Here is a 25149-nt window from a genome sequence, read left to right as displayed (position 1 = left end):
CACATAAGAACCTCAGAATGACTGAAGGCGCAACCTAAACATGTAACCCAGAAGACCAAGTGCCAAGTTCTTTGAACATGGCTGGGAAATTGCTGACAAGGATTTTCAAACAGTTTTCATGCCAAATAACTAAGTCTTCAGCAATTCCTCACCTAAGAAGAAGTTGCAACAGGCATCAAGGTCTAATGGAAAGCAGCCTAAGGTTATTTCACTGGTCACTAATCATACAAGGTTGCTTCCTTCTTGTTAAGTTCTTATGAAACAAAGTAAGTTTGCAACGATATGGCTGGACCATAAATTTAGATTTATTACAATCTACAGTAATTCCTCTTATTCAACCTTCACCATACACACCTAATGACTTTTTCTCTCTGGGTGTTGTGAGTGCTTCAGTTTTTCGGAAAGGTACATAGTAACATGGAGCCTCTGACAACATTGCTGCAGTTAGGTCTTGATAATAGGCCTTCCGCCTCTGGTTATAACTTCTGAACCTGGCCCCTCTGAAGGGGAGAATGGGAATAAAAAGTAAAACATTGAGTACCATGATGGCTTCAAGAAAAAGCCGTATCTGAAATGATCTAAAATTGTTTCTGAAGGATCAAGTGAAACTACCATTCAACTAGAGCATTTGTAAGCACAAATGGTTTGTATTTAACAGACATTATATATTTCACATAACTATAGGTATTGGTTTCATCTAATAACTCAAAGTGTGTTTTCCCATGAAAATTTACTAGGTTTCTTTCTGCACTCCTTACAGGGATACTAGCTGACTGCTGTAAACCTAAAGGTCTTTTCCAACCAAAAATTTATATGAAGTTAAGGAGAGTATGTTTCTGCACAAATTCAAGACCAGTACTGCCAGGAAATCAGGACTGTGTCTTAAATCCATACTCAAGGGCATACGACTGAGGGTGGAGGAGACGATTGTATTTAGCATACCTGGACCAATGAAAATATTGGTTCTTGTCCTAAATCCACACAGTCATAATGTGCTGTTTGTAGTCCTGATCCTGCCCTGGAACCAGTGTTCCCTGGTTGCTAGCTCTTCCTCCCAAAGTCAAGCTTCCTGTCCTGTTGGCCCCAAATCCTGGTAATTTCATGATAATTCCCTCCAATCACCTTTGCTCCTAGGCCCCATGTGTGCCAGAGTGAGCCCTTCCTGTATGCTAGCATTGATATATTCAATAAGCAACACTGTCTGACTTGAGAAGGCAGAATCTTTATTGAATCCTGCAGAAAACAGGAGTGAGTCACACTCACTGCTTCATATGTCATTATGTATTAGGTAGGTTGGTACAAAAGTAATCGCGGTTTTTGCCATTAAAAGTTTTATTGCACTAACCTCAAATTTTCCTCTAATAATAATGATAACGGTTATGTATTATTTTTTATAATGTGTTCTAGTTTTCATTATATCTTGTTTTGATTTTGATTTTACAGAATGCTGTCATTATTCCCAGTTCACAGATGGGGAGGTAAAAACCCAGAGCTTAATAGCATGTCCAAGATCACATAACTAGTAAGTGCAAGACCTGAACCCAGCTCCTCTGACTGAAACCCTTTTGTTTTTCTCCCTGAGGAAAGCAATGTAATGAGCAGAATGAGAAAAACATTTCTAAGGAATATGTCCATAGTCACCAATTATCAATTTAACTGAAACCTCTATAAAGTGGTTGAACACTAAGTAATAACATTTTATAGTGGTCTTTATAAATAATTCTCTTAACTGATAATAAAAATAAACCTATGAAAGATTTCAGAAAAATGAAGCAAGCTGTGGGAATACCAATTTTAATGTTGGCACAAAAACTGAAACACTTGCTCATGCTTTTGCTCAATTGGTGTTTAAGCAAATTGTATTAAATATCCATATTTGATTCAGTAGTGATTTTTGAAACTTTTTCTATTCTTATATAAAAGTCTTAGCTCTGCACTATTATAATATATCAAGGTTGGTCACCAAATGCATATATAGTGAGTACAGCTGTAGAATTTAATAAAACCAAAGGTTTGAGCTAACAAATGAAAAATTATATACTATTGGAAACTTGTGCTCAAAGTTGAAACTTGAAGGAAATATTTTAGCACTATCACAATATTACATTGCAACCATTATTTAATCTATCTCCTCTGAAATGACTTAAGGGAAGTGCTCGCAAAGCCCTATTTACTTCAGCCAGGAAGGAACGCAGTGGTCAGAGAGTGAATGAAGTCATGGAAAGCTGACAATGCCTCTATTGTAAGAGCACCTCAGAGTATTGTTTGACGTTGACCAAGTGAGGAGTAAGTGTTGGGAAGTTTTAATTTCATCTCAACAAGAGGGTAGGGCCAGAGGAATAGTGTAAAACTAGCCTTTACTTAAATTCTTTTTTTTTCTTTAATTAAAAAGCATCAACTTGAATGCACCTGGAAAAAAGGAATGTCTTTTAGTGGTTACCAAGATTTTGAAAAACAGTTTTACATTTTTAAAAAAGTTTCATAAGTAAATAGCACATTTTTGGCCTATAAGCAGATACTATATACATTTTCATGAATGCTATGTATCATATACATGGATGTATAATTTACATATTTGCCATTCAACTTTTCCGTAAGAAACTTCAAGAATCCCTAAGCAACCTGTGCGTTGCAATTGTCACTTTGAACTTTAGAACAAAGCAGAGACTGTAAAACCAGTTTATAAAAAGTATTATGAGATACCACAACTGGCATTTTTACGACCTTATTAAACTACATTCAAGTGGCATAAATTATATGTAATGAAAGTGAAAAGGATCTCTGACCCGATTTTAATAATGGGTGCATGCTTATTAGTTTGAGTTTTTTTCTGAATAGAAACCTTTTTTCAAACTTCAGCAGTTGATATTATGTGGAAGTCATAAATGTCAGATTACATTAAACTATTTTGGTTCATAGAAGAGCCATTAAGTTACTAGAGAGTAATGAGTAGGTCTTCTCACAAAGTAAAGCCAAAGGTGTTAATTTAGATTTGAAACATTCCACCTCATTATAAAAGCCAAATTAATTTGCCATGTGTAGAAGCAGCAAAAACCAATATTTGAAATGTGAAAGGCCTCCTTTTTGTAGAAGAGTGATAGAAAAGGGCATTACAAAGTTTCTATTCCTAAAGAGTGGGCAAACTGGTCCCTCTGAGGTTAATTATGATTAAGTCTTTGGGAGCCTCTTACTGGAAATTTCTATTCAAGAAGTTGAATTGATAGAATTAGTTAAATGTTAAAAATAAAAGGAAGTCTGGGCATTTAGGCAATTCCAAGTTTGAAAATCTGTAAACTTAAACATATGTAAAGTTGATTTATCTCCTCCAATTTTTATAACTTAATGAAGAATAAATAAATAATTGTATTTTGTTTATTACAAATTTCGAAAAAAGAGAAAAAAACACATTAATTTGGAATACTATAGAACAAAGTATAGAGCATCCTGACTTTCAAGTGTCTATTTATTAAAAGTCAGACCAAATGAAGAATATTTGAAAACCCAAATAAATAAACATATTTTATAAGAACCCTAGAAACAACAGCCTTTTCAAACCTAGAAAACAAATTGAACAAAAATGGTAAAGTGATAAGAAGAATAATGTTGGATTGGTTTATCATTTTTAAACTGTGAAAAAAATAGAAATGCAAAAATCAGTTAATGAAAGAAAAATTCTAACCTATAGTAGTAACCTTGCCCAGAAATAGACAAAAGTACCGATCATGGTGTCTACAGAATCAACCATATGGAGTGGTCACATGAAGGACCATGAAATAAAGTTGCTCTGTTCAGTATAGCCAGCTACTGAAGTATTACTAAAGATCCCACAAGGATTGCTAGGAACTCCTCTGCATTCTCTAGCAAGAAAGGCAGGCGGTGGGTAGTGATGTAACTTCCTAGAAGACATCAGGAAGTGACATCATGCAAAATCATTTAAATTTAGAGAAAAAATGCTTTCTAGCTCAGGAAGTATTTTTATATCCTGACAGCAACCACCCTAGATGACTACTTATATATTTTTTCCATATTAGGACACAGGTTAGACCACTTGCCCAGGATCACTCAGCTAGTTAATGCCTGAGCCGTTTACAGATTAACTTGCTATCTGGTCAGTGGCCATCTCATTTCTATTTCAGTGGTTCCACCAAGACTATTTCATGATTCATGATTTCTTATGAAAATTTATAATTTATTTTATTAATAAAAAGTTTTATTTGAAAAAGTTCCCCTTAATGATATTTTAAAAAAAATACTTAGGCCCTAATATCTAGGTCTGGATAAATAATAACCATAACCAACATTTATGTGTTGTTTTGTTGTTTGCAAATTGTTTCAATACAAATTACCTAAATTTTAACATGAGATTGCAATTTCTGCTTTTATACATCAATGATTTTTATTTATTTATTTATTTATTATTTTGAGACAGGGTCTGTCTCTATCACCCAGGTTGGAGTTCAGTGGTGCAATCACGGCTCACTGCAGCCTCCACCTCCCAGGCCCAAGCTGATCCTCCCACCTCAGCTTCTCCAGTAGCTGGGCCTATAGGCGCACAGCTCTACACCCAGCTAATTTGATGGTATTTTTTGTAGAGGCAGCGTTTCACCATGTTGCCCAGGCTGGTCTCAAACTCCTGAGCTCAAGCTATCTGCCCACCTAGGCCTCTCAAAGTGCTGGAATTACAGGCATGAGCCATTACACCTGGCCCATGCTGCAATGAGTTTTGAAAAAACATATAGGTCTCTCTCATTTCTCCTTTAACCTACTCACATATCCAGACTCCTCACCCTTTTCTAGATGGATTCCTTTGTCCCTCTTTTAAAATGTGGTTTCAGGGCTGGACACAGTGGCTCACGCCTGTAATCCCAGCACTTTGAGAGGCTGAGGAGAGAGGATGCTTGGGCTCAGGAGTTCGAGACCAACCTGGGCAACATAGGGAGACCCTGTCTCTACAAAAAATGAAAAAATTAGCTGGACGTGATGACATGCACCTGTAGTTCCAGCTGCTTAGGAGGCTGAGGTGGGAGGATTGCTTGGGCCTGGGAGGTCCTGGCTGCAGTGAGCCATGATTGTACCACTGTACTCCAGCCTGGGCAAGAGAGCAAGACCCTGTCTCAGAAAAATAAAATAAATTAAATATGGTTTCAGATATGGAACAATATTCCAAGGCAGTCTGAGCAGAATTGAAACAAAGGGAGAAGAGGGACAGAGTGGGTTGATCAGATACAGAGAGAGCAGATAGAGGAAGTTTCTTGTAATGTCTGTAACAAATTACCATAAAGTGGCTGGTTTAAAACAGCATAAATCTATTCTCTCACAGTTCTGGGGAAATCTGAAATCAATGTGTCAGAAGAGTTGGTTTTTCTGGATGCTCTGAAAGAGAAATCATCTTGTATTTCTTCTTTAGCTTTTGGTGTTGTAGCAATTGTTAGAGCTCCTTGTTGTACATGCATTGTTCTAGTCTTGCTCCCTTCTCTAGACTAGCCTTTTCTCTGCCTCTCTGTATCCTTTTTTTTTTTTTTTTTGTCTCTTATAAGGAGACTCTCATTGGACTTAGGGCTTACCTTAATCCAGTATTATCTCATCTTGATCCCTAACTAATTACATTGGCAATAACCCTTTTTCCAAGTACAATCATGTTCTGAGGTTCCAGGTGGACATTAATTTGGGGCAGAAACTATTAAATCTACTAAAAGGAGGAAGAGGCTTTGAGAACCACATGTGTACTTGATGCCTATGATGATATCCAGGCAGTGGGCAACTTAAAAATAGAAAAACTGATTATCCCATTTGGTTGAAATGAGCAAATTGACTGAACTAATGTTTTTATGTTATGAAGACAAAAAAATAAAAAGAGAATAATTGGAGATATGTATTCATTTAGCAGAATGATTTTTATTAGTAGAGCTGGTACAATCCCAAACAAAGAGGGACTTAATTCACAACATGCCAAGTTTCAGTGAGGCTCCCAACATTCCACTGGAAAGTCACTAGATAGTCACAGAGCATGGAGATGGGCCAAAATGAAACAGAGGAAGTGTAATAACTGAGCATATGGAAGCAATGTAGTGATTCTATTAAGAACTGACAGATAAATGCCATGGGGATTGCAAATCCATCACCTAGTTTTCAGTGATATATAAAGATCAGAGACCTAAAACACTGTTCATTTATATGTGATGTTTTTGCCCTCATCTAAATTTTCTGAAGACCTTGGCTAATGGTACAGAATGTCAATGAGAATTGAATGTGTGATCTCAGAAAATTCAGTGAATTTAGGGACTGAAGAAGAGGAAAACTGATGCTCAAGATACTAATTGATTAAAAGTAGGGTATCAAGCAGTTGAAAATGTTCTGAACAGATCTTACCAGAAGGATCCATTATAAATTGGGGTCCAGACAATACACAAAGTTGTATTGTCATTCTCACCTGTAAAGAATAAGAAAAACAGAAAGTAAATATTCTTACAGAGAATAGCGGAGCATTAAGATTCATTTGCATTTTAAGTCCATTTTATTTTGCCAATGTATTAATATTTAGAGGTCTGTTATACTAATGTTATTAATATTTTTCATTTCCATACACAGTTAACTAAAGAGCTTTTTCTTTAAAAGCTGTAATGTCTGTAAAAAATACTTTTAAATAAAGTTTATTTTGTTAAAAAAAAAAGCTTAACTTGCCAATGGAAGAAAAAAAATGAACTCAATAGATATGTGTCTTATGAGAGGTAGCTGGTGGAGGGAGAGAAGTGCTGGTAGTTATAACAGAAGTGCTAAGAATCATGGTCTAATGGGGGGACTGACTTTCATTGGCCTCTGTACTTCCTCATCATGGAGCTAGCTAAGCTCAAGGTTGACCTGAGCTTTTCTAGAAAGGTGGCATTGCAATAAAATGCAAACCATTCAAGCATGGGATGATGGTGAGAGATGGAGCACAGGCATCAAAATAATCCATTTCCTCTTTAGCTTTACTTCAAATTGATGTTACACAACTAGAGTTCAGTGAAAACAACATGACAGATTAGAAAGAGCTCACAAGAAACAACATGTTCTTAATTTTATTTATAAATGTGACCTGTGACGTGTTTGTGTTCTATCTAGCTAGAAAAGATACAAGAACTCCTTCCTTATCCCCAAATGAAAAGTTACTAGAGTACCCCATCCTTCAACAGCTGCTCCTTCAGTGACCGCTTCTTATGCCCCTGCTGTGACTTGTTCATCAGCAGCATGAGCATCACACAAATCTAAGGGATGCTTCAAGATTACTCAGGGCAAAAGCTTTTATCCCCTTGCAAAGAAATACAGGTTTGCAATCTTGATATTTCCAGAAATGAATTCACTCTTTTCTTACATCCACTAAACACAACCAAGGCATTGTGGTATTTTTCTTAAAAGTATAAAAGTATATTTATTTTTTATTTTTTTATTATACTTTAAGTTCTAGGGTACACATGCATAACGTGGAGGTTTGTTACATATGTATACATCTGCTATGTTGGTGTGCTGCACCCATTAACTGGTCATTTACATTAGGTATATCTCCTAATGCTATCCCTCCCCCCTCCCCCCACCCCACAACAGGCCCTAGTGTGTGATGTTCCCTTTCCTGTGTCCAAGTGTTCTCATTGTTCAGTTCCCACCTATGAGTGAGAATATGTGGCATTTGGTTTTTTGTCCTTGCGATAGTTTGCTGAGAATGATGGTTTCCAGCTTCATCCATGTCCCTACAAAAGACATGATAATTTTTTATGGCTGCATAGTATTCCATGGTGTATATGTGCCACATTTTCTTAATCCAGTCTATCATTGTTGGACATTCGGGTTGGTTCCAAGTCTTTGCTATTGTGAATAGTGCTGCAATAAACATAGGTGTGCATGTGTCTTTATAGCAGCATGATTTATAATCCTTTGGGTATATACCCAGTAATGGGATGGCTGGGTCAAATGGTAATTCTAGTTCTAGATCCCTGAGGAATCGCCACACTGTCTTCCACAATGGTTGAACTAGTTTACAATTATTTATGTTTAATAAGTTATATTAAATTGTCACACCCGAGTCTGGCCCAAAAGCCAGAAAAGTAGTCTTCTGATCCTTAGAATCTGCCATAGCATTAAAACATATTAAAGTTGCAGTTGATGCCTCAGAACGTTTGCAAGAATAACAGACTGAAAAACTGTGAACTCAAAGCAAATTTAGTGCCTGGCTCAAGATAGGGAATAAATCAAGAGCAAAGCAGATTTGCATGTTCTGTTAACCCAGAGATTTAGTTGCAGTTACCTGCAGATGGAAAGGTTGTTTCCTACTACTTTCTATACTCTTGAGATGATCACTGATTGATCTAAAAGCATCCAGACTTCCCAGAATATTCAGCATCTCCAGTGTATAAAAGCAAACTGACTACATTTGGTTATGTATTCACTCACTCCATAATAAAAAGTGGACCTCTCATATCTGTTAGAGACTATGTTAGTTTCTTTGGTTGCAGCAAAGAGTAAATGAGAAATAACACCTAGCCTTACAGAGCTTATTCTTTTATCTAATCATTCAATACATATTCACCAAGTACCCACCAAGCACCATTCTGGGTGCTTGGGATCTGACAGTGAACAAAACAAAAATCCCTGCCATCTTGGAGCTTACATTTCACTGGAGGACAATAAATAATGGACATATCATAAATATGTCAATTTTACAGTATATTCAAATGAGATAAGTGCTATGAAGAAAGAAAAGCAGATCAGAGTAAGGGGGATCTCGCAGAGTTAATGCCCAGTAAGGGAGTACAGCAGTATGAGTTGCAATTTCAAGTCAGAGTAGACTTCATTGTATATGGAGATTTGGACAAACACTTGGAAAAAGTGAGAAAGTTTATCTTGTAGCTTTTGGGAGCATGAGGATTCCAGGCAGAGAAAATAGGCAACACAAAGAACTAAAGGCAGAAGCATACTTGGTGTATAGGATGAAGGGCAGAGTTCCACTAACTAACTTGTATATAAATAGGAAGAGAAATGAGTACTTTACCTGGATGCGTTGGCCTTTTCTCCTGAACTATTTTAGATATATGTAAAATTCACTTATTTTAGAATAAAATTCACTTATTTCACATTTTATTGGAGAATATGGAATTAATACAGTATGCTACTACAATCGAAAATTTCTATTTCTTGAGTTTTAACATATCCGTTTTTCAATGCAGTTAGAAAAAAATAAAAATGCTTGGCTATTAATAGTAACATACTGTACTTTCTAGTATTCTTTTCAGTAATTTTCATTATTAGCCATACAGGTAAATATCTAATATCCTTTCTTTACATGGCAATGTTCAAGGCATTTGGATTCAGCTATGAAAGCAATTCTTCACCCTTAATGTTAACCTAGACAGGAATTGACATCAAAACAGAGTACTCACCAAGGCTTTGTTAATTAACAGATGTGGCTGTAGTGTGGCATTTTTGCCACCCACCAGACAATGAATATTTTACACGCATGCTGATTTAACATAAAGCTGATTGATGTTAGAACCCAGTTCCTCTTTCAGCCACATGTAAAGTTATAGCAGTATGTCTGATTCTTCAGTGAAAATATTTTAAGGAAAGAAAATGGATTTGCTAACACATCCATGTTTTCCATGTTGGACATGTTTCACTGCTGTTTATAAAATAGTCGGTCCTAAGGATGACAATTAAATCTTGAAATTATGGCAAAACAAGCAAACAGACTATCAAGGAAAAATAAAGATTTACACTTATTTCAAAGTAAAATTTCCCCACTTTTACCATCAGGAAAACCTAGACTTTGGGCCTCTTTTGCACTAAGAAATTTCACAAGAATATGATTTCAGTATCCTGGAAACAAATTAGTCCTTAGGATTCTACTGTTTTCCTTTAGAATGAAAGCACTGAGAACTGAGAACTTTGCTTTAATATCGCATTGTGGCTCAGCAGATGTCTAAACCTTAAGGGAAAAATGAATTCCAAGTGTCTGTCATCCACTTTTTCACTACAGAATGGAAGGTAGAAGGGACCTGTCTTTAAAGCAAGAGCTGATGGCTCCCTGCACACACCTGTGTGGAAGGCCGCTCTCGCAGGGTGGTGGCACACTCCCAACATCTGCTCCTTTCATTGAATTTAGCTGTAAATTGAAATTCCATTGCAATGTTTTTAGAACCAGTTGAAGTAAGGAGACTGTCAGAAATCCTCTTTAAACTCACCCTTATCCAAACAGGAAACTGACCCTTGGCCCCTGGACGTAACAGTACACCAGTGGAAATTTCATTATCCCCGTTTCAGCTGAACTAAGTGAAAATTAATTGTGTAATTATCTGGATGAGCGCATGTGTAAAATTTTACAATGTGCCAGTTAGATTAAGTAACGTGTTAGTGGCATGGTTTAGTGCAGAGTCAAAGCTGTCCTATAAAAATGGAATAAAAAAATCTAACAAGGTTGGAAGAAAAAAAAAAACATATGTCAGAACAAATGCTTAACATGAGAAGGTAAAGTTAGGCTTAATTCTATAACCTGATGAAAATCTTACCCTCCTAAACCATAGGTAAATCTGGCAGGGTTGGAAAGGGTGTGTGTGCATGTGAGCTCACTGGGACATTTGTGTAAAGGACTTCTCCATTTACTGTAATTTTAAAATGAAACTATTATTAAAATATTTAATGTGCTAACTATTGTATTTTGTATTTTTTTGTATGTAATTTTACTTTACTAACTACATTAGAAATTGTACGCTATATTCAGTAGATGGGATTATTTGTCTCAGGTATACTTTGTTCACCTGTTCAGTGAAAGGTTCTGACTTTTATTCTGGATTTAATTCTTCAAATGATAAAATAAATGCTGCATCCTGACTTAAGATTATTTCATTAAAATATTTAGATGAGTATGAACTGATTTTAACAACAAATGCATGGGGATTTTCCTTCTGAAGTCTTACTCACTTTGATAAAGATTCTAAAGGACATTTTTCCCCTGAGATTTTGGCCTCACCCAGCCCCCACAAATATTGCATTATGGAGACTATTTCCATTTGAAAGTCTCTGGAATGTTTAGATAGCAGAATTTCTGGATGGAAAGTATGATTTGGGGAGATGTTTTTTGAAAGCAAGGATCATCTTTAAACAACATATGAGTAGTGTGTTGAGATCTTAGCAATTCTGAATGTCAGATTTCACAATGTCAGTGCTGTCTTGGCAAATTGAGATACTAATTTACGTATCTTGCCAATAAAACGGGTCTCTTGTTTTTCTCATTTCTTATACTATATATTGTCTCTTTAAAGTTATGTTAATGGTAAAAGTCTGTTGAGATTTTTCTTCCATCATCCTCCTCAAAAATGAAACCTCCACTAGACAAAAATAGTAACATTCTCAAAGAAAATGTACTCAAAAAAGTGTTTTAACTTTTTTTTTAACTTGGCTTACTATAATGCTCTTAGACGTTTGTATTGGGTTACTAGTGCTTTAAGAGATTGTTAGTACTTTAAGAAGCTATAAAGAGTATGTCTATATTTAGTGGAAAATATTGTAGTGTATATAAGCATGATTAAAAGGAAGAAAGCACCAATGTGATTTATAGAACAGCAGGGCAGTCAAACGACATTAAAAATAATCGAGACCATTCAGAGGGAAAGGCAAAACTTCAGGTCAGAGAACATTAGCCTCAACATGAAAATGAGACTGTGGTATTAAACCTACATTTTACCATAGATTAATTATCGGGAAGGTGTTGGAACAGTCCGTTTCATTTTAAATAAGACACAATGCCCTCTTCACCAGTTTGAAAGTGTCGGGAGTTGGGGGAGGGGCAGTTGTTTGTCAAACCTTAGAGAACAAAATGGATACCAGGAGGTGGCCTTGCAGACTCCATGTGCAGCCCCCAGATTCTAGAGCTGTGCTTGCATTTGAGAATGTATCACATCAGGCATGACTTGCCCCTTCTTGGAAGCAACTGTGTTGGCCACCTTTTCTAAAGCCAGGCCTGGGAGTTTCTCTGTGCCTTTCAGGAAATGGTAAAAATCAGGAGAATCTAGTCATTTTTTTTTTTAATAAAGCATTTTATGGTTGTTACTGTCCCAACTTTATATGAATAAAATTTAAAAAATTTAATCCAGATTTAAATGTATAACTATACTTTATACAAAGACTTTTTAATAGTTATTGTTTTTACATATTTCTCCTTTTTGAATAATGTAAATTTGGAATATAATTTCTAACACTGAGACACTTAATATTTTAAAATCATATTTTATTTTAATTGACTCCAATTAAGACCATTGTTTTACCGTAGAATATTAGGACTAAAAGAGGCCTTAAAATCCTCCATGTTCATTCTACAGGTAAGAAAACCAAACTCTACAAAGAATAACTTCTCTTCCAGGTCAGCGCTGTCTTAACTAATCTAGGTTTTCTAGTCATCTGGTGCTTCCCCAGGCCTCAATAGGATGAGAAACAAATGTGTGATTATGTAAGAAGTCAGATGCTAGGTGTAATATACAGGAGGAAGAGGCACAGGATTTAAAGCCAGGATGACCTGGATTTGAATCCTGGATCTGTGCCTTGCTCTCTGTGTGACTTTGGGTATGTAACTTAATTTCTCGAAATTTCAGAATCCCAGATTCTGTGTTGTGTCTACCTCACAAGTTAGTTGTGAGCATCAAGTTACACAATCTGTATGGAGCTGCCTAGCACATAATGAAAAACTAATAAAATTCAAATATTTGAGGAGCAAACTTTCAAAGTCAAGAAAGTGGTTTATTAAATTTATGGTAAAAAGCATATAGAAAAGCTTTGAGAGCAATCCGGAGGAAATCAGATTAGCATAACTTTCCTTTTTAATAATATTTATTATGCATATTCCATATAGAACATGTTTATTCAGTATGCAAGTAAATCTTTCATTTGAGCATTTGGAGAATAGCTGAAGAGGAAAAGAAATACTGAATAACCTAGGAGAAAAATGGGTGTGAATTTACATATATATTTATAATTATATATTTATATATAAACATTTAGTGAACTTATATATAATTAACATACATATGAAACATGTACATATATGTTAATTTTATTGTGATTTATTATTTACACCCCATTTGCTTCCCAAATGAATTCAAAGTGGCAAGTTATATTTTTTCTTTCCCATTTTGGGAATGTTTATAACATTTCAAATTTCATAACTGGTAGAGAGCTTTGGATTCTGATTTTGCCAACTGCTGATGTATTTTGGAAGACCATTTAATAGATAAATTTCTCAAGCCAGATAATTCTTGCAGAATTACAGGAAAACTTGGGAAAAAAGCTAAGCACCTGGTGCCAGGATATGAAAATACAAAGAACTAAGTCCATGTGTGTGAGAATCTGAACACTAGAGCTCTCTGTGAAAGAGGGAGAGAGAGATTCCTTTCCCTCACTTCAGTAATAAGAGTAAGGTTACAGGTTTCTTTCTTCTTTCTCATTGCTTCTAGAATTGATGAAATATTTTATTACAAATCTGAGCCAGAATTATTTAAGATGAGAGCTTAAGAAATGGAATAATAGAGTTTTTGAAACTGGTTTAAGGTTTAAAGTCAGCTTTTAGTTTCTTCAAATACACAAATTCATTCATTTGCCATATAGTTCGTGAATGCCAGAAGTACAGCAGAAATAAAATCCAACCCTTAATTTTATGTAAATTCCATTCTAGTGGTTAGAGACAGAGAAATAAATAAGCAAATACTATGTTAAGTGTTGCATGCTATGAGGAAAAATTAAGAAGAGGAAATGTGATGGAGGCAGGGAGAGTGCAATGTTATGAAGGGTGATCAGAGAAGCACTTGTTTATAAGCTATCCAATGGATAAATTCAACCTTATTCTTACAGCTCACACCTCACAAACTTCTAGTATGTACTGTTTAAGGGTGTACTAGAAAGTATATTTACTTTGTTAGTTTTTAGTTGTGATTATAGTTTCTAAGTAGGGAATACTTGGGTTCTTCATTTCCATTAAGTTGAGGGAACATGAAGTCAATAAGCCTATAATGTGTGAAAGATACTACCTGTATTTTAGCCAAAAGTAGAATCCCATGAAATGATCCAAAACAGGAAGAAGTAGAGGGGGAGATATTCCGTTGAAAAAAAAATGAAACTGGGGGATGTAAAATAATACAGTCACCAAAGCTAAAAATAAACGAGAATATCTGATCTTAAAAAACTTATTTTCTTGGAGAACAGAAATCTAAGACAGCAAAGGGAATTCTTTTCCTTACTGTCCCACTTTTATCCCAAAGATCTGAGGGAGCCAAATGAAAATTTCCTGGCATCCTGGGGCAATAAAATAATCTTGGTCTTCTTGTGAAACCACATTAGTATGGAGAGGGAACAGAGGCCTTTTGAGTGTTCCTAAGTGCTGTGTAAGCTGCATTTTTCTCCAGGAACTCAAAGCTTTGTTTATTTGCAAAGAATTGTGCTACCAAGGCATGGAGGCCTCAGTGGCCCAGGTGACATACTCAGATCTGAGCACTTACCAATTAAGAAGCTCTCAATTAAATGCTTGTTCAAGAGCCCAGGGAGACACATCAAAGGTTACTATTGGTTTCTTTAGATATGTTGGTGAAAAAGAAACTGGCATTTTCTTGGGGAAGGTGGACCCAAAAGAAATTGTCCTCAGCAAGCTATAGCTTAACGAAGCCCTGGATGATTTGAGCCAGCTCTTCCTTTCACCTTTGCTAGCTTCTAGCACTTTAATGGCAGAAAACCTGATAAAAAGTACTTGAGTTACTCACTTTCCCATTCAAAAAGACTTTAAAATTTAAGTGACTGCAATTGTGAGTGTGTGTGTGTGTGTGTGTGTGAGAGAGAGAGAGAGAGAGAGAGAGAGGGAGAGATGGGACTGATTGGCCAACAGTAGAATATTTGCGGAAGAAGAGTTCATTTTATTTTATAACTGCCCCATAGCAAAACACTATTTCTATTCCTAATGATATAACATGAAGTCGCCAGCTGCAGGAAGTGTATGGATTACTTACCTCCTCAGAAGCATAGATGTAAATACACACGTAATCACTGATGCTACTTAGAGTTTGGTCTCTTTATTTGGGGCCTGAGTTACCCACCTCCATTTTTTCCAAGCCACAATGTTGGAATTCAAGCTTTAACTAATGTTTTGCTGGTCGATTTAGTGCTTAGTAAAAAGCTATATTGACAGCACACAGAGAGAAGTTCTGTATATAAGAAAAATAAATTTGTGTTCTCTCCTGCAGTTCCACTGCTCAAAATTACTCCTGAAGGGATGAGGACACCAGGATATGCCACCGGACCACTGAAGGTAAGGGCTCTAGGGAGGGAAGATTAGAGGCAGCCCCAAGTCAACTCGCTTACTTATTGTTAAACACAACTGAAATGCCAGCTTCTCCCACCTGTCACTTCTTTCCCTGGTCACCCTGCTTATAACTTGTCTGTAACATGCCACCTATGGTAGCTTTGCCTTTTTTCAGGATACCTGAAGGTAGTTCAAGGCACTGCACATTCCAGGAAGGGAATGGCCAGCATCTTTCCTAGATTTTGGCCACAGTTGTGATTTTAAACATTTGCCCTGTGTCATACCGTGTCCCAGACTTGGTTTAGAAAACCTAGTCACCATAGTGTTGTGTTGCTAACCTGAGTCTCCCCACTGACTCCAGTTGCACTTCAAATTCTCCTGACTTTGCTCATGGTTCTGACTTCTCCCCACAGCCAGCAGGTGCCTCCTAGAGTGATTCTAGTCCCTTCATTTTCATTCCCCCTGAGTTTCTGCTTCTTCATTTTCAAGAGCTGGCTTTCTCATTTCCTGGTTAACCTACTAGGAACGCTTCTCCAACTCTATCTACATCATTTATTTCAAGATTGCATTTTCTTTATCTGCTAGTTTCTCTTATTGAAATCCTTCCAATAACAAAATTCAGGTTTGTAAATAATCACTGTAAGATCACTAATTTTTCTAGAAAGAAAAATAACATTTTAAGCAGGAGGTGAGAAGCAGGCTTTCTTAATGATTATGGTGTCTACCCATTCCCAAACATTCCCAAAAGATACTAAGGAATCTTGGAGAACTCTCTGTTCCATCCTTGGCCTACTCCCCTTACTCTCCTCCTGTTCCCTGCGGGATTCTATCCACTCTCATGTTTTTAATCAGACTTATTTATATGCTGAAATTAACAAAATATCTACTTCTCTAGTCAAGACCTTTCCCTGGAACTCTGGACGAACATATCCAGCCAAATACTACTGGATATTGTCATGTGGATTCTCAATATTAACATGTCTAAAACTGAATTCAACTTCTTCCCCTTTCAAAGAATCTTTCCTATAATAAAAGTGATAAACACTTCTATAGTACTTTCTATGCATCAGGCATGATTCAACGCACTTTCCACATATTTACTCATTTGATCCTCGCAGCAATCTTAAGAAGTACATATTATTATTATCACCATCCTATGAAGAAACAATGGCACAGAGAGGTTAAGCAACCTTCCCAAAGACAGACAGTTAGCAGTGGCAAAGCTGAGATTTGAACTCAAGCTATCTGGCTCCAGAGGCCATGCTTTTAACCATTGTGCTGTTTCACTCTCACACCAGTTAACCTGTCACCAGGACTGGACATCTAGGAATCAGCTGTCACCTTCCTCTCACCTCTTCATCTAAGCAAGCTTGTATTTCTGTATTCCATCCCTCTCCTCTCAGATAATAGTGCTCCATTTTTGCAAACCATTCTTTGCAAAATGGAAAGTCATTCTTAAATGACTCCCCAACACAGAGAGGACTGTGTCTGACCCTGCCCTGCTCCTTAGCTTTACCCCTTCCCTCCTCTAGCTGGAACAAGAGGCTCTAGTAACACTCAATCACTTCCCATTCCTTTAAACACAATGCCGTGCTTCTCCTATGGATTTTCTCATGCTGTCCTCCTGCCAGAAATGCTCTTCCCTTTTCCAAGCACCCTCCTCCTAATTCCTGTTCATTCCAAAGCTTCAGTTCAGTGTGTTTTTGCCAGTTAAGTCCCCCCTAATATCTCTACCACCACCGCTTGCCCTCCAAGTGGGCTGGTTAGCTCCACCCTTCTCATGTGCTTTATAGTACATCTTTCAACCTTTGTTTTTCTTTTGTTTTCCCCTTTTTTTTTTTTTTTGAGATAAGGTCTTGCTCTGTTGCCCAGGCTGGAGTGCAGTGGTGCAATTTTGGCACATGGCAGCTGCGAACTCCTTGATTCCGTCATCTGGAATCAATGATCTCTATTTCATTATTCATTCTGTTCATTTGTCTGCACCTCTCACCAGAACTATTTGTTCTCTGAGGTCTGTGACTGCACTCGATGAATCTGAAATTCTGTAGCATCTAGTTTGGTAACTGGAGAACAATATAAAATGGATAAATTTTTCATGGGTGTATAGACATAAGGAGTGACTGAAAATAGAGTGCCATATGGTGTTTATGCACTAAATGTGCATATGTATAAGGAAGAGAAGGGTCAAGACATGCATAGGTCATTTAGCGTGTATTTATGAAACTTCTGATTTGCACCCAGCCTTGGTCATTTGCAGTGATGGACAATGTGACAAACAATTGAAATGAAAATAGGATCATTCCAAATAAAAGCCAAAATATCATTTCATAAGTGGGTTTGCTGAGCCCGAGTCACTCTCCAGCTGTGTCAGTCATCCCCTTGGCCAGTGTCATGAATTCTCTTGAGTCTGTAGAGTTACAGGTCATACCAGAAAAGAAGGGCCTCTGCCATTTGCTCCTGGAGGGTTTCCCTCTCAAGGCAGGTGAGAAGCCCCAAGGCCTGGCTACCCTGACATTGTTCTTACAGAGCCTCTTGTTGGCAGGTATGCTGAACTGGACTTCTCTCCAGATGAAGCTCAGAAGTAAAAGTGGCTTAGAAACAAAAAAAAAAAAATGAAGGTCAAAGTCAACTTAGACTTTTCACCATGCTAATGACGTATCCCAGATTACAGGATAGGAGCTTAGCTCACCAGGGTGCTGGTTTGAGGTATGACCAAAAGTATAACATTCCTCAGAGTTGTTCGCACATAATAATTAGTCATCCATTTAAACATTTTTCGAGAATCCATAAATGCCAGTCATTGTGCCACATTCTGGAAGTGAAAAGAAAAATAAGAAATACATTTTGCCTTCAAGAAGCTTAGAGATTGGTGAGTGAGACAGACAAGAAAAGGCATCCAAAAGAATAGCTCATGGGATAAAATAATTTTTTAAAGAAAAAAAGAAAAGGCACAGTTACTCGAAATCATATGGGGGATGCGTTACTGGGAAGCAAAAGGTTTTGTGACAGCATGCGAGGAGGGTCCCTAATACAGAGTAGTGGAGTGGGAGGGAGAAACAAGGACCTCCCACCTCCCCTATATGTCTTGCCCTCTCAAAACAAGATTGAGAATGACTAGGCTGAGGACTTGCAATTTATCTTCCCTCAATTGGTAAGCCATTGAGCCAGCATAGGTGTGAAGCTGGGCTGTGAATGATGGGGCATGAATTCTCCCTGGTATTAGAAAGTTCCAGGAGAGCACTACAAATGTCCATCATTTGTGAATACCATGGAAAATTGCAAGGGGTTAAGTCACTTCATCAGTAGCCCCAGAACATCTACCTGCTAGGTGAGAGGAAGCCCTAGCAGCCAGACATGTAGAATGGGCCCTCCCTTGCTTACTGAAGACCGAAAAACTGAGAAACAGCCTCAGCCAGATCTCTCACCCCAGAAGACAGAGTAGGTGAGGCCCCATTTCCAGTCCCTAAAGAACAATAGATATCCCCTACAAAAAAATCCAGCAGCTCAACGTCCAATCCAGAGAGACTAAGAGAGTGGAAAGGCTAAAGTCTGAGGCAGGACCTCAAAGTATAGGCTTAAAGTGAAAATAGAAACAGGCATGGCCAAGGCAAGTTCCTAGGTCAATCACTATAAAGACTAAGGATATTGTGCTACCTACCATATGCCAAGAAAGGTGGTACAAAGTGAGTCTTTAGTTTGCCCAAACCCCACCCCAAAACATAAAGTATAGGTAAAAATAGAATTGCCAACATAATTTGAAGCCCTTTAGCTACCATCCCCCTTCCAAGGAAAGTGTGAACCCAAAGTCCCTTCTATATATAGGGTAACCATGTGTCCTTTGTCATGGGGCAGCATTGGTTTACAATTGTCTCCTAGAAAAATTATTAATATCATCCTCTTTCATTCTCAAAAGAGTTCTGATATGGGCTATAAATTATCACCATATATGAAAATTCTGGAGCCCCACTTGTGGCAGGAACTGGGCTCAACACATTTCTTTCTTCCACTATGATATTTAGTCTCATTATTATCATCTCTATATTTACAGATGAGAACTTGAAGCTTAGGCAGTTTAAAGAGCTTTCCCAAAATCATAGAGTCATTGAATGGAAATAATGGGAATTGACCTCAAGCCTATCTGAGGCTAAAATTTGAGCTACAATTATCTATATTTCTTCAGTGAAACACCACTCCCTTGTCAAGAGCACGAAAAGTTGCATCCAGCATTAAACTAATGAAGAAGTTTCATGAGGAATTGTCAGACAAAAATCACTGTTTACTTAATTGTATTTCAAGTAAATACGTTTTAATGTATTTGAATTTGGTCTCAAGGACAACTGGTTTCACAATAAAAAGAAGCTAGCATGAGGGATTGTGTTTCAGGAAGAGGTAGCATGGGTGAGAAAGAATATGGCCTGATAAAGAACTTATGGATGTTTAGTGAAATGAAAATAGAAGGTTTGGGTTTGGAGAATAAGCAGAGAGTAACCATTGACAGACTTGACTAAAGACTTGGACTTCACTCTTCTTGAACTAGGGATCCCTTGAAGGCTCCTACCCAAGGAGAAATATAAGATAAGCATCCCAGAGACTGGTGGGGATGGGATTATAGGGGATTAAACTGAAGGCACTAAACTGTTCATGAAGGCCAAAACTAAAGCAGTAACAGTGAGGATGGAGAAGAATGGTGTGGTTTGACCGTTTCTCAATAGACACACAACAATGGGCATATCCCAGTAACAAAATGGGTGAGGGAGGAGTGACATAGATGGAGAGAACAAGAATGATGCTCAGTCCCATTAGTGCCTCCCAAACTTCCCACTGCAGACAACTACATCAGATTTTCCAGGCAAGAGGCCTGGTAGTCCGATTATATAACAAGGGCTGGGGGTGGTACTTATCATCTGGGAAGTTGGGAAAACACTGGACAAAATGGATAAGATTCCCTTAATACAGCCAAGGATAGAAGAGAAGGAAGAGCTTTCATTAAAAAGATAATAAATTCATTTTGGAAATAGTACTTTAGATCCAAGATAACTGAGTGTTTCAGTATTAGAAACTAAGGAGAAGGCCATGCTTGAAACTTTAGATTTAGGGGATTATTCATGGATACATGATAATGGAAGTCATGCCTAGGGATGAAGTTACTCTGGGACCAGATAGTATGATAAAAGGAAACAAGGACAAAAGTTCAAACAACAGTTAACAGTTAAAGAGCAGATGTGGGAGGAAGAATCAATCTGAGAGAGAAAGAGGTTTCAGAAGTCAGAACTAAGAAGGAGTAATGTCAGAAGCTAAAGAAATATGCTTTTCAATGAAAAGAGAGTGATCACCAGTATCAAATGCCACAAAGATTAGGAATTTAAACTATCCCTTGAAATAGGCACTTAGAAAATCATTTGTAGCCTTTCCAAGGCATCTAGATTACAATGAAATTCAAAGTAAATGGGAATGAGAAAGTGGAGACAAGCAGCATTTGCTATATTTTCTACGGTCTTGGTGGAGAACAGAAGAAATGCGGAGTGAGAGGATGTTACATTCAGAGGGATTTGGAGGTTCAAGACAGACTGCTTTTTTCCTGGTCTGTCAGGAGTTTTCAAGGAAGCAAGGGATAGAAACCCATACAGAAGAGAAGAACAGGAAACCATGGCTAGAAGCCCACAGACCTAGTAGATATTATTTTGTACTTAAAGACACATAATTATGTTTGAGGGCCAAGGGAAAGGAATCAGTGAGAAGTGAGATGGTTAGCATGTGAGGAAAAACTGATAAATAATAGATGAATGGCTATTACTTGATAACTGGTAAGTAATAGATGAATGATAGGAACTGATAAGTAATAGATGAATGGCTATGAGGACAAGAACAAGACTATAGTATAGATAGGGTTTTAAAAGGAGGAATGCATTCTTCTCTAAGAGCAGAGGAAAGAATAGATGAAATCAAGGACTTTTTGTTGAAGAAAAAATATTTAAAGAACATATGCCTAGTGATGACCTGGTCCCAGTAAAGTAGAAAATCAGGTCAGCCATTGAGAGGGAGAGGTAGGTATTGGATCAAGAGCCTATGGTGATAGCTCCAGTAAGAAACCTCTGGAAGACTGGCAAATTGTCAGTTTGAACCTCTTGGTTCAAAATCCTCTCCTTGCTCTATCCACCAAGCCTATATTATAATCCTTATCCAGTACTAACAAACCTCCACCTCCCACACTGAAAGCTTCACCTTAAATCTGACTTCAAAAAGTCTATAAAGATTTCAACTTTGGCCAGGCGCAGTGTCTCACACCTGTAATCCCAGCACTTTGGGAGGCTGAGGCGGGTGGATCACTTGAGGTCAGAGTTCGAGACCAGCCTGGCCAACATGGCAAAACCCCGTCTCTATTAAAAATACAAAAATTAGCCAGGCGTCATGGCGGGCACCTGTAATCCCAGCTACTCAGGGGGCTGAGGTAGGAGAATCGCTTGAACCCAGGAGGTGGAGGTTGCAGTAAGCCAAGATTGCGCCACTGCACTCCAGCCTGGGTGACAGGAGACTCCATCTCTCTGAGATGCTAGTGAGCCTTACATACTGCTATCCTAACATGGTTAGCAATAAACTAAGCTTTCTCTTCTCCACAGATAGTTTTGGTAACATTCTTGGGAGTCAGCCAGCATTCAGTTATTATTTGTAACATAAATGAACAGAAGATACTTAGACTTTCCTTAGTGACTAGAGGCCAGCCATTGATATGATAATTGATTTCTAAAGATGGATTTTCAGAAATGGGAACGCTGAATAGTTTAGGATTCTTGATTAAATATATACATCTTACGTATGAGAAAACTGAGGCTCAACAAATGCAAATGATATGGTACAAAGTGATGAACAAATGGAAACCTGAAATGGGACCCCACAGTGCTTCTCTATAACCAAGGAAGCTGCTTTCTCTTCTCTTTGCCACTGGCTCTCTGCTACTCTGCTCACTAAACAGTAGTTTCCATTAGCAAGTCCACCTACTAGCAGCCCGGCTTCTACTCCATTAGGGATGTCCCCCTCCTTAAAAGACAGGCATGGGTGAGTCAGGGAGAGTCCTGTACCAAGAGGGGCAGTGCTTAGGGCTGACAGTTAAATCTGAAATATGTCAAAGATGGCAGGAAGAGTTCTAAACTCAAGCCAAAGAAGTCTGTCCAAATGAAGCTCTCTATCTACAGAGCCCTTTCCCCCTCCTCAAAAAAAAATTTCTCTGCTGAATATTGTTCTATCACTTTGCCTTTTTGCATTTCTTCGAAATAGCTCACTTCTCCTATTACCAATTAAAGTGCTGCTTTTGCTCATATTATTAGCCTAACCAATGATAGTGTTATGAGCACAGTATTTGTTTCATTTCTTTCACTCTTCAGGATAATTTAGTTGCTTTCTTGTTTTTGGTCTACAAAGACACTTTTTTTTTCCTTTTTTTTTTATTTTACTTTAAGTTCTGGGATATGTGCGCAGAATGTGCAGGTTTGTTACATAGGTATACATGTGCCATGGTAGTTTGCTGCACCTGTCAACCCATCATCTATGTTTTAAGCCCTACATGCATTAGGTGTTTATCCTAATGCTCTCCCTCCCCTTGGCCCCCACCCCCTGACAGGCCTCGGTGTGTGATGTTCCCCTCCCTGTGTCCATGTGTTCTCATTATTCAACTCTCACTTATAAGTAAGAACAAGTGGTGTTTGGTTTTCTGTTCCTGTGTTAGTTTGCTGAGAATGATGGCTTCCAGCTTCATCCATGTCCCTGCAAAGGACATGAACTCATTCTTTTTTATGGCTGCATAGTATTCCATGGTATATATGTGCCACAGTTTCTTTATCCAGTCTATCATTGATGGGCATTTGGCTTGGTTCCAAGTCTTTGCTGTTGTAAATAGTGCCGCAATAAACATACATGTGCATGTGTCTTTATAGCAGCATGATTCATAATCCCTAGGGTATATACCCAATAATGGGATTGCTGGGTCAAATGGTATTTCTAGTTCTATATCCTTGAGGAATCTCCACACTGTCTTCCACAATGATTGAACTAATTTACACTCCCACCAACAGTGTAAAAGCATTCCTATTTCTCCACATCCTCTCCAGCATCTGTCGTTTCCTCACTTTTTAATAATCACCATTCTAACTGGCGTGAGATGGTATCTCATTGTGGTTTTGATTTGCATTTCTCTAATGACCAGTGATGATGAGCTTTTTTACATATTTCTTGGCCACATAAATATCTTCTTTTGAGAAGTGTACAAAGACACATTTTTATCATTTGCTCTGCTTCTTGGATTTTTATTTCCTTATTTGCTATTATTCAGGAAATCTATAGCTACCTAAAGCTTGTTTTAATTTCTAAATAAGAAAGTTATTTGTCTCTCTGTCTCACAGTGATGAACACATACTTGGTATTCAGTAAATGCATCTTGGATCAGAAATTTTCTTTTGCCAGACATATATATATATATATATATATATATATATATATATATATATATATATATATATATGCCCTTGACCTATATAATCCATGCAACCAGATTGATAAATGCTGTAAGAAGAACTACCAATAACTACTAATAGCAATGTACAATGACAGAAAATTACTTTGTGTGAGCCATTGTTCTAAGATATTAACCTGGGTTAACTGATTTAATCCTTAAATCAACCGTGTAGGGGAGGGACTGTTACTAGCTTCTTTTTCAGAAAAGGAACATGAGACACAGAAAGGTTGAATAATCTGTCCAAAACAAAGCAACTGAAAAGTGGCAGGACTAGGATTTGAACCCAGACCATCTGCTTTCAGTCTCTTAACCACTGCACTATACTAAGGACCACTATTATTTTATGTGATTTGCAAATGTAAAAATAAAAACAAATTATATGTTTAAATTTGGAATTAATAGTTATTTTTTGGAATAGATTTGTTCATATAACTTTTCACAAATACATGGCCATTTTCTATTCAACAACTTTTAAAGAAAGATTGTATAATTCTGAAAAATGAAAGATAAACCAATAATTTTAAAATTCCATGAAATATTTTGTGTAAACCTATCTTGCTTGCACAAATGAATCAAAGTTCTTTCCTTACCTTTGACTAAACTTGACTTTCAGGATGATATACAAAGAGAAAATGTGATTTATCCTCTCAATTGGAGAAACTTAAAAGAAAATAGGATTCCAAACATTAATGACAGTGGCAGAAAAATTAGGAAGTGAATATCTTTGCATTTCTAAAAAAAAAGAATGCCCAACCAAGGAAAACTCCTGGGCTGCATTTCCCCTCAAATGTTGGGGTATGTTTTCTCCACCGCCATCCTATTTCCACCTGGGAAAGGAGGGAAATCTTGGCAAATGACTGTGAAAATCCATTTTATTCTTCTTGAAGTAAAATATGTCTTCTTTGTTCTTTAAGGCACTGCCTCTGTGCTTGTAATTCTTAACAATCCTTCCTTTACAGGGGCTCTTACTGGCATAGAAAATGGTTGTCAAGAATTCAAAACCATCACAAGTCATAAGAAATTATATTTGAGTGAGAAGCTGCTTAAATTGTTTCAAATCACCCAATTTCATGTAGTTGAGATGTGAACAGGGGAACAGAGGTGAAATGTAAGCTTTTAAAGGAATGTTAACTGCTATCATCAGGGAAAGATACATGTGTGTGCGTGTGTGTGTGTCTGTCTGTGTATACACACTACTGTCAGTAAAAATACGGATATGTTCTCTAGGATATATGGGGGAAAGCCAGATGGGAAAAGTGATGGAACAGAAAACAAAAGGCCAGACAATACGAAATCTCCGTTTAATAAACACAGCTGGGATGCAGCTGAAGTTGAGAAG

General features: G+C 37.4%; 2 long non-coding RNA genes across 3 annotated transcripts in view; one reads left to right on the top strand and one right to left on the bottom strand.

The window, feature by feature from the left end:
* LOC107986620 (uncharacterized) overlaps positions 1–25149 on the bottom strand; it is a 175866-nt gene that overhangs the window by 68961 nt on the left and 81756 nt on the right. For both annotated transcript variants that reach the window (XR_001744235.2, XR_001744236.1), the window contains exon 2: positions 6370–6430. This is a non-coding gene — a long non-coding RNA (uncharacterized LOC107986620). The remainder of the gene's footprint in view (positions 1–6369; positions 6431–25149) is intronic.
* The window catches only part of LINC01611 (long intergenic non-protein coding RNA 1611), a 53902-nt gene that overhangs the window by 15233 nt on the left and 13520 nt on the right, over positions 1–25149 (top strand). The window contains exons 3-4 of the long non-coding RNA NR_132100.1: positions 1444–1522; positions 15246–15310. This is a non-coding gene — a long non-coding RNA (long intergenic non-protein coding RNA 1611). The remainder of the gene's footprint in view (positions 1–1443; positions 1523–15245; positions 15311–25149) is intronic.

The sequence above is a fragment of the Homo sapiens genome, chromosome 6 (genome assembly GCF_000001405.40).
Source record: "Homo sapiens chromosome 6, GRCh38.p14 Primary Assembly".
In the NCBI taxonomy this organism is placed as follows: Eukaryota; Metazoa; Chordata; class Mammalia; order Primates; family Hominidae; genus Homo; species Homo sapiens.
The sequence above is the reverse complement of the archived record's forward strand: the minus strand, read 5'-3'. Positions and strand labels throughout refer to the sequence as shown.